The sequence below is a fragment of the Homo sapiens genome, chromosome 12 (assembly GCF_000001405.40).
Source record: "Homo sapiens chromosome 12, GRCh38.p14 Primary Assembly".
NCBI lineage: Eukaryota > Metazoa > Chordata > Mammalia > Primates > Hominidae > Homo > Homo sapiens.
Window position 1 is genome coordinate 97,655,980 of NC_000012.12, and position 9,435 is coordinate 97,665,414.

At 41.3% G+C, this 9,435-nt stretch overlaps 1 annotated feature.

The window, feature by feature from the left end:
- Nucleotides 301-891: an enhancer, noted in NCBI's record as "NANOG-H3K4me1 hESC enhancer chr12:98050058-98050648 (GRCh37/hg19 assembly coordinates)". NCBI's record gives its function as "activates a minimal SCP1, AML or CMV promoter by ChIP-STARR-seq in naive H9 embryonic stem cells {active_cell/tissue: H9 hESC(naive)}" and the evidence as "EXISTENCE:reporter gene assay evidence [ECO:0000049][PMID:30033119]".

Genomic DNA, 9,435 nt, shown 5'->3' on the forward strand with positions numbered 1-9,435 from the left:
GTTTTCAGCTCCATCAGCTCCTTTAAGCACTTCTCTGTATTGGTTATTCTAGTTATACATTCTTCTAAATTTTTTTCAAAGTTTTTAACTTCTTTGCCTTTGGTTTGAATGTCCTCCCGTAGCTCAGAGTAATTTGATCGTCTGAAGCCTTCTTCTCTCAGCTCGTCAAAGTCATTCTCCATCCAGCTTTGTTCCATTGCTGGTGAGGAACTGCGTTCCTTTGGAGGAGGAGAGGCGCTCTGCGTTTTAGAGTTTCCAGTTTTTCTGTTCTGTTTTTTCCCCATCTTTGTGGTTTTGTCTACTTTTGGTCTTTGATGATGGTGATGTACAGATGGGTTTTTGGTGTGGATGTCCTTTCTGTTTGTTAGTTTTCCTTCTAACAGACAGGACCCTCAGCTGCAGGTCTGTTGGAATACCCTGCCGTGTGAGGTGTCAGTGTGCCCCTGCTGGGGAGTGCCTCCCAGTTAGGCTGCTCGGGGGTCAGCGGTCAGGGACCTACTTGAGGAGGCAGTCTGCCCGTTCCCAGATCTCCAGCTGCATGCTGGGAGAACCACTGCTCTCTTCAAAGCTGTCAGACAGGGACATTTAAGTCTGCAGAGGTTACTGCTGTCTTTTTGTTTGTCTGTGCCCTGCCCCCAGAGGTGGAGCCTACAGAGGCACGCAGGCCTCCTTGAGCTGTGGTGGGCTCCACCCAGTTCGAGCTTCCCGGCTGCTTTGTTTACCTAAGCAAGCCTAGGCAATCGCAGGCGCCCCTCCCCCAGCCTTGCTGCCGCCTTGCAGTTTGATCTCAGACTGCTGTGCTAGCGATCAGTGAGACTCCGTGGGCGTAGGACCCTCCGAGCTAGGTGCGGGATATAATCTCGTGGTGTGCCGTTTTTTAAGCCGGTCCGAAAAGCGCAATATTCGGGTGGGAGTGACCCGATTTTCCAGGTGCATCTGTCACCTCTTTCTTTGACTCGGAAAGGGAACTCCCTGACCCCTTGCGCTTCCCAAGTGAGGCAATGCCTCGCCCTGCTTTGGCTCGTGCACGGTGCATGCAACCACTGACTTGTGCCCACTGTCTGGCACTCCCTAGTGAGATGAACCCGGTACCTCAGATGGAAATGCAGAAATCACCCATCTTCTGTGTCTCTCATGCTGGGAGCTGTAGACTGGAGCTGTTCCTATTCGGCCATCTTGGCTCCTCCCAAAGTAGTAGTTTCTTAATGGTTAGTTGTCATGTAGAAACTGAAACCATATCAGTAAACTCTTCAGGCTCTGTTATATTAAATTCATCTGCTTGTCTTGTATTTTAATCAGTCTTTTATCCATGCAAAACTGTAATATCATGCATTTGCCTTTTGGAAAATATTGAAAATATTGGTTCACTGAGATATGCAGATCTTCCAAATGTTGATACATTTTATTATGCAACATAAAATATTATATTTACTAATATCACCTTCATCTTGTCAGAAAAGTCTTTAAGATTTGGAAAGCTGTCAGTCTTATGGTGGTCAATACAAGTTTTCCAAATTTCTAATTTTTGCTTGAAAGCTCAAATATTATCATTGACAACAGATACTGTCAGTGTTTTTCTCAAAATGACAGATTCACTTAGGACGACCAACCACCCTATTCACCCAAGACTAAGGGGCTCCTGGGGAAATGCTAGAGTTTCAATGCTAAAACTGAGAAAGTCCTTAGAGGCATTAATTTTTTAGAAAATATCCATTGAATACCCAAGTCAGAATAACTGTAATTCATCTGTCAGTCATTCTTTTAAGTAAAAATGGTATTCTATGACAAAAGTAACTAGTTCAGCTGGCAACTCCAATAATCACACGAGTGCTTCTCCCCCCGATAACTCCTCAGCATGCAGCAGTTTTGCTCTGTAGGTGTTTCTAATTTAGTCACAAAGTGTCCTAAAAGGACAAGGCAACTCAAGGGCCAATGTTTAATAAAGAGATTAATTTTTGTTGCTTCATCAAAGGAATTCTTAAATAAAACTGGTTTTTAAAAAATGTAAATGTGGGGCTGTGAAGAATATCATAGCTACCAGTAGTTTGGTGCCACTGTCTTGATTTGTGCTAAGTTTGACCCACCATTGGTTTTGCTTTTACATTATTGGAGCAAATGCCAACACAGCTTAAGAAAAAAAGGTGAATAATGCTTTACTGTATTATGAAAATAGTTTTAACCTCATGTACTCACTATCCCAAAGGGTCTATGAATCATACTTTGGAGGCCCTATCCTGGGGCATAGGTCTTCCAGGAGGTTCTCTAAGTGTCAGAATTGGTTCTGACATTTGTCCTCTTGTGAACCCAGAATTACCATACTCTTTTCCTTCTCTCCAAGGATGTTCCCAGAGTATAAGAAGTTTTTCCTTTTAAATTCTCAAATGACATAAGCTTTGAATATACCCTCTTTTTGACAATAAAACAATGACCCTATGCCTACACATCTAAATAAAGTTGCTTTCAGTGATTTGAAAGTCCTCCATCTTCATCCTTCTAAAAGAACCCACCTTTTACAATTCCAATAATGTGTTCTGCCCCTTCATCCTAAAGACGAGTGAACACAAAATACAAATCTAATCTCCATTGAGTCACAACCCTAGCACACATTTCAATACACATTAATTTCCTAATAGCCATAATCAAGGTAGAAGACTAGCGTTGAATAAGAGAAGAAAGGGAGCATTTTCAAATTAGTGAAAGCACAATTTTTATTATTATACCACAGATATTGACAGATTTCATTTTTGCTGTAACATGTACTTAATATTTGAGATTGGTATTTCCAAGAAGAAACCACAGTTAGAATTATAAAAATAAAAATGACGTCTTGTAACCTTGAGGCTTGTGCATGAAAACAAGGCTGTGTAATAGAAAGAAGATTCTGAGCCCCTTTTCCTCAAGTCTTAGAGCTGCCCATGGTTTCATCTGTCAGAACATCTGCCATAGGCTGATGAAGAATGATATAGATATAGCATAATGGTGACACTTTCCTACATTTAGGATTTGAAATAGCTTTTTTTTTTTTTAATGAAGGACAGATGAAAAGAAGTCCAAGATGAGATTGACAGGTAGACGTATTCCCTGGAGATATACATTGCTATTCTTTGGAGTCGGAAAAATAAGCCAGACTTAATTTGTCTACATAGTTATACTTTCCATTTTTGTGGCATTTTAGAATTTATTAAACATTTAGCATGCACTATCTTATTCTCTTCACAACATTCCCAAAGTAGGTCTTTGGGTTTTTGTTTTTCTCTCTCTCTTCATTTGACCAAAGGAAGTCAAGGCTGAATGATTTGCCCAAGGTCACACTACTGTAAGTATCCAACCCATGTCTGTGTACCCAGAGTGCAATGTTCCATCTAGTGAGCAGCTTGTGGCTTCAGGGAAACCTTGACGGTACAGAGGAAAAAGTGGAAGTTGAAAAGTTAAATATGGTAGAATGAAATTCCTTATTCATCTCTGCTTGCGCTAGGCTGTTGGCAACACAACACCATGCCCCTTCTGTGTTCCTCCCCTGTATTCCAGGGACTAGATGCCTGGGAGCACATTCCCAAAATCCCTTGCCAGAGTGTTTCCAGGTTAGGGCAAAGGTAGAAGGGAGGTAGACATGATATTGTTGATCTTTTGGCAAGAATGTGCAGAAGTGTAGTCTCAGTGGATGTGAGGTTTGCAGCTGCCTCCAGGTGGTTTGCAGTTTTGCACCTGACTCAGTGTCACAAATGTTATTGATGGTCACTTGTGGTTTCCTGTGATTTCTGCAACTTTCCAACTCTGACAGCTAATGGTGAACCTGAGAACAAGTAGAGGGTTTGTTTAATCTTTGAAACTCCTGCCCTTTCCACAGTGTCCTAAACGTTTACATTGCCTAAATTAAATTATTTCCTGCTTGAAATACCTTGTGCGGCTTATCATTTTCTGAAAAGTACTAATTGATAAATTTCTCAACCCCACTAAAAGAACACTGAGGCAAGAAAAGTGGCATAAATCTTCAAGGACAAGAATGTGAGTTAAAACAACTGCAGAGACAGCAATTTATTTTTTAGAAGATAGGATTCAGATGAGCAATTGATTCAAATGGTAACTGATATATCAGGGAGTAGAACACTGAAACTCAACTGCAGGTAGTGGGGAAATGCTGTTAAGAAGGAACCTGATTAATACTGTAACACAGATTCCTGGAAGGTTTCAAGAGTAGAAGGCACCAGATAATTTTGAAGTTGGTAGTGCAGGATAAGTTAGAAATAGATGTATTTATTGAAAGTATATAAGTATAGTTTGTGGGCTGACAAAATTTTTCTGTAAAGAGCCATGTATTAGTCTGTTCATGGCACTACAACAAAACACCATAAACTGGGTGGCTTATAAACAACAGAAATCTATTTCTCACAGTTCCAGATGCTGGGAAGTCCAAGATCAAGGCAGCAATAGATTTGGTGTCTGGTGAGAGATGTCTTCTTTTGTAATATCACCTGGTAGAAAAGGGTCAAGGAAGCTCTCTGGGGCCTCTTTTATAAGGACACTAATCCCATTGATAAGGGTTCTGCCTTCACGATCTAATTATTTCCCAAAGGCCTCTACCTTCTAATACCATCATGTATGTCATTAGGTTTTCAACATATGAGTTTTGTGGGGACATAAACATTCAGTCTATAGAAGACCAGATAGTAAATATTTTAGGTATTGTGCATTGTATTAGTCTGTTCTCACGTTACTAATAAAGATATACCCGAGACTGTGTAGTTTATAAAGGAAAAAGGTTTAATTGACTCACAGTTCTGCATGGCCTGGGAGGCCTCAGGAAACTTACGATCATGGTTGAAGGGGAAGCAAACACATCCTTCTTCACGGGCAGTAATGAGGAGAAGAACAAGCAAAGGGGCACGGGGTGGGGAAAGCCCCTTACAAAACCATCAGATTTCATAAGAACTCACTCACTATCACAGGAATAGCATGGAGGTAACCGTCCTCATGATTCAATTAGCTCCCACCAGACCCCTCCCACAATACCTGGGGATTATAGCAACTATAATTCAAGAGGAGATTTGGGCGGGGACGTAGTCAAACCACATCATTCTGCCCTGGCCCCTCGCAAATCTCATGTCCTCCCATTTCAAAATAAATCATGCCTTCCCAACTGTCCCCCAAAGTCTTAACTCATTCCAGCATTAACTCAAAAGTCCAAGCCTAAAGTCTCACCTGAGACGAGGCAAGTCCCTTACACCTTGAGCCTGCAAAATCAAAAGCAAGTTAGTTACTTCCTAGATATAGTGGGGGTATAGGCATTGGGTAAATACAGCCATTCCAAATGGGAGAAATTGGCCAAAAAAAGGGTGCTGCAGGCCACACAAGTCCAAAATCCAATAGGGCAGTCATTAAACCTTAAAGTTCCCAAATGATCTCCTTTGACTCCAAGTCTCAAATCCAGGTCACACTGATGCAAGAGGTAGACTCCCAGGGCCTTGGGCAGCTCTACCCCTGTGGCTTTGCAGGGTACAGCCCCCATCCTGGCTGCTTTCATGGGCTAGCATTGAGTGTCTGTGGCTTTTCCAGGCACGCGGTGCAAGCTGTCAGTGGATCTACCATTCTGGGGTCTGGAGGATGGTGGCCTCTTCTCACAACTCTACTAGGCAATGCCCCAGTGGGTACTTTGTGTAGGGGCTCTGACTCCCTGTTTCCTTTCTGCACTGCCCTAGCAGAGGTTTTCCATGAGGGCTCCACCCCTGCAACACACCTCTGCCTGTACATCTGGGCATTTTCATACATCCTCTGAAATCTAGGAAGAGGTTCTCAAACCTCAATTCTTGCCTCTACATATCCACAGGACCAACATCACTTGGAAGCTTTCAAGGCTTGGGGCTTGCACCCTCCAAAGCCACTGCCTAAGCTGTACCTTGGCCCCTTTTAGCCATGGCTGGAGTGGCTGGAACACAGGGCATCAAGTCCAAGGCTGCACACAGCAGGGAGGCCTTGGACCTGGTCAAGGAAACCATTTTTTTTCCTCCTAGGCTTCCAGGCCTGTGATGGGAGGGGCTGTCTTGAAGGTCTCTGACATGCCCTGGAGACATTTTTCCATTGTCTTGGTGATTAACATTAGGCTCCTCATTACTTATGCAAATTTCTGCAGCTGGCTTGATTTTCTCCCCAGAAAATGGGGTTTTCTTTTCTATGGCATAGTCAGGCTGCAAATTTTCCGAACTTTTATGCTCTGCTTCCCCTTGAAAGCTTTGCTGCTTAGAAATTTCTTCCCCCAGATACGCTAAATCATCTCTCTCAAGTTCAATGTTCCACAGATCTCTAGGTCAGGGGCAAAATGATGCAAGTCTCTTTGCTAAAGCATAACAAGAATCACCTTTGCTCCGGTTCCCAATAAGTTCCTCATCTCCATCTGAGACCACCTCAGCCTGGACTTCATTGTCCCTATCACTATCAGCATGTTGGTCAAAACCATTAAACAAGTCTCTAGGAAGCCTCAAACATTCCTACATCTTCCTGTCTTCTTCTGAGCCCTCCAAACTGTTCCAACCTCTGCCCGTTAGCCAGTTCCAAAGTCACTTCCGCATTTTTGAGTATCTTAATAGCAGTACCCCACTCTACTGGAACTAATTTACTGTGTTAGTTCATTTTCATACTGCTATGAAGAAATACTTGAGAGTGAGTAATTTATAAAGAAAAAAAGGTTTAATGGACCCAAAGTTCCACATGGCTGGGGAGGTCTCACAATCGTGGCGGGAGGCAAAGGAGGAGCAAAGGCACATCTTACATGGTGACAGGCTGGAGAGCATGTGCAGGGGAACTGCCCTTTTTAAAACCAGCAGATCTCATGAGACTTATTCACTATCATGAGAACAGCATAGGAAAACCCACCCCTATGATTCAATTACCTCCAACCAGGTCCCTCCCATGACGTGGGGATTATGGGAGCTACATTTCAAGATGAGATTTGGATGGAGACACAGACAACCCATATTATGCATCCTATGGTCTCTGTCACAACTATTTGATTCTGTTGTTGCAGTGTGAAAGGAGCTGTAGACAATGCTTAAATGAAAGGGCTTAACTGTACTCCAATAAGATTTTATTTACAAAATAAGAAGCAGATCAGATTGGCCCATAGGCCATAGTTTTACTAACTCCTGTTTGGACTGTTAAAACCTTTCATCAGAGTGCATAGGTCTGCCCACTCAGGATAAGACAAAAAGTTTACTCTCTGGAAAGGTTGAAATAAAGATATTATTTAGTTGAGGATGCCAGACATAGCTGGGGTTTGGATATGGAGTGAAAATTTCTATAGAAAATTGAGAAACTATATATAAACATGAAAACCAAGCCATGTGACCCATAGAGACCAAACCTAGCATGACTTTTACAAAGGATATATTTTGGAAATATGGAGGCAAATAACAAAAGAAACACTAAAGGAAAACTGAAAGTGATTGCCCAAGAGAAGTGAGAATCACAAGTGAATCACTTTATCAGTATGAAAATGTTGCATATATTATTTGGATAAAATTAAAATTGAAATAAGAAAAAGTAACTGTAGAAGAATTCAAGGTATTGCATGCATGTTTCATGAGCCCATGGAGTCATCAATGTAGATATTACTATCCTGCTTTTCCAAATAAAGAGGCTGAAAAGTCAAACTCCAAAGCTGAATAACAGAGGAGAAACTGTTGCTTCAAAGAAGGGAAATATATTGGACTTAGTTGGTATGAGTAGAAAAAGTTATCAGTTAATTAGTGGAAAGTATTGGTAGAAATTCACATATACAGAGAGCACTACAGAGTGTTTAAACTTTTGTGACCACAAATGGGAGCCAAGGATATTGTTGGATACCAACAATTCCAACTGAGATGAAGATTTTGGCTAAGACCAAGTGATGCTGGCATCACTCCTAGTTGCCCTAGCAATGAGTACCCTCCTCATGTTAATGATGCAATAAAAAATGCAAATGGTGCAAAAATAATTAGGTTCAGAGTACCATGTGGCTAGTTAGCTCCATCTGAGAGGAGGTATTGGAATTAAATTTGTAGGGTTGAGGTGTATGTGCAATAAAGGATGAAATCATTAGGAGATGGGCTTGAGTCATAAATAAATGTGGGCTGGAGACTCTCTTGGTTGCTGACCTGTTCCATTTCTTTCTGATATCATTGAAGTAGGTGTATGTTAGTGATTCTTCAGTATCTTACCTGTTCCACCTGGAGCCATCACTTCAGGCAAGGAAACTCTAGGACATGTAGATAATAGAGCTCATAACTCACACCTCATGGCTTTGTAAATTAACTTGGTTTACTAGGAATTATCACAACTGCCTTACCCAATTACCTTTCCCATTTATTGTCACTGTCTAGAAGGATAAAGCCTACTTAAACAAGTATGGATAAGAGAAAGGAGGAGCTGATGAGAAACTGGGCTTTAGCAACATAAAATAAAATTCTTTTTTTTCCCTGGTATAATATTTATCTTTAATTTGCTGTTGGTTTTGCAACCTTTCAATAATAGTGTAAGCATAATTTGTATCTGTTTTTACTTTGAACAGTATAATTCTGGATAACGCTTCCTTAGTTTGTGCTTTTGTCTTTCTTTTTTCTGTTTTTTTTTTTGTTAACTTTTATTTTAATTTCAGGGGTACATGTACAGGTTTGTTACGCAGGTAAACTTGTGTCATGGGGTATTGTTGTACAGATTTTTTCATCCCCAAATACCAAGCCTAGTACCCAGTAGTTATTTTTTTTTGATCCCCTCCTTCATCCTACACTTCATCCTCAAGTAGGCCCCAGTGTCTGTTGTTCCCTCTTTGTGTCCATGGGTTCTCATCATTTAGCTTCCACTAGCAGATAAGAACATGCAGTGTTTGGTTTTCTCTTCCTGCATTAGCTTGCTAAGGGTAATGGCCTCCAGCTCCATCCATGTTCCTGCAAAATACATGATCTCATTCTTTTTTATGGGTGCATATTATTTCATGATAGGACATAATTCTTAAATATCACATCTGCCTCTCATAAACTGATGACACTGGGCAACCTCTTTAGAGTCTCAGCTTTCTCTTCTCTTAAAAAATATTAGGGGGATTGTGGTGGTTAATTTTACGTGTCAACTTGATTAGGCCACTGGGTGCCCAGGTATGTGGTTAAACATTATTTTAGATGTGTCTGTGATGGTGTTTCTGGATGAAATTAACATTCAAATTGGTAGACTGAGTAAAGTAGATTGCTCTCCCCAATGCAAATGGGCCTTATCCAATCTGTTGAAGGCCTGGATACAACGAAAAGGCCAAGGAATGGAGAATTTGGTCTCTTGCTGCCTGATTTTCTTCAAGTTGGGATATTGGTTTTCCCCTGCTTTTGGACTTCATTTAGAGCTTACAACACCAGCTCTCCTGGGTCTCCAGCTTGCCAACTACAGATCTTGGGACTTAGTTTTCAAAATCATGTG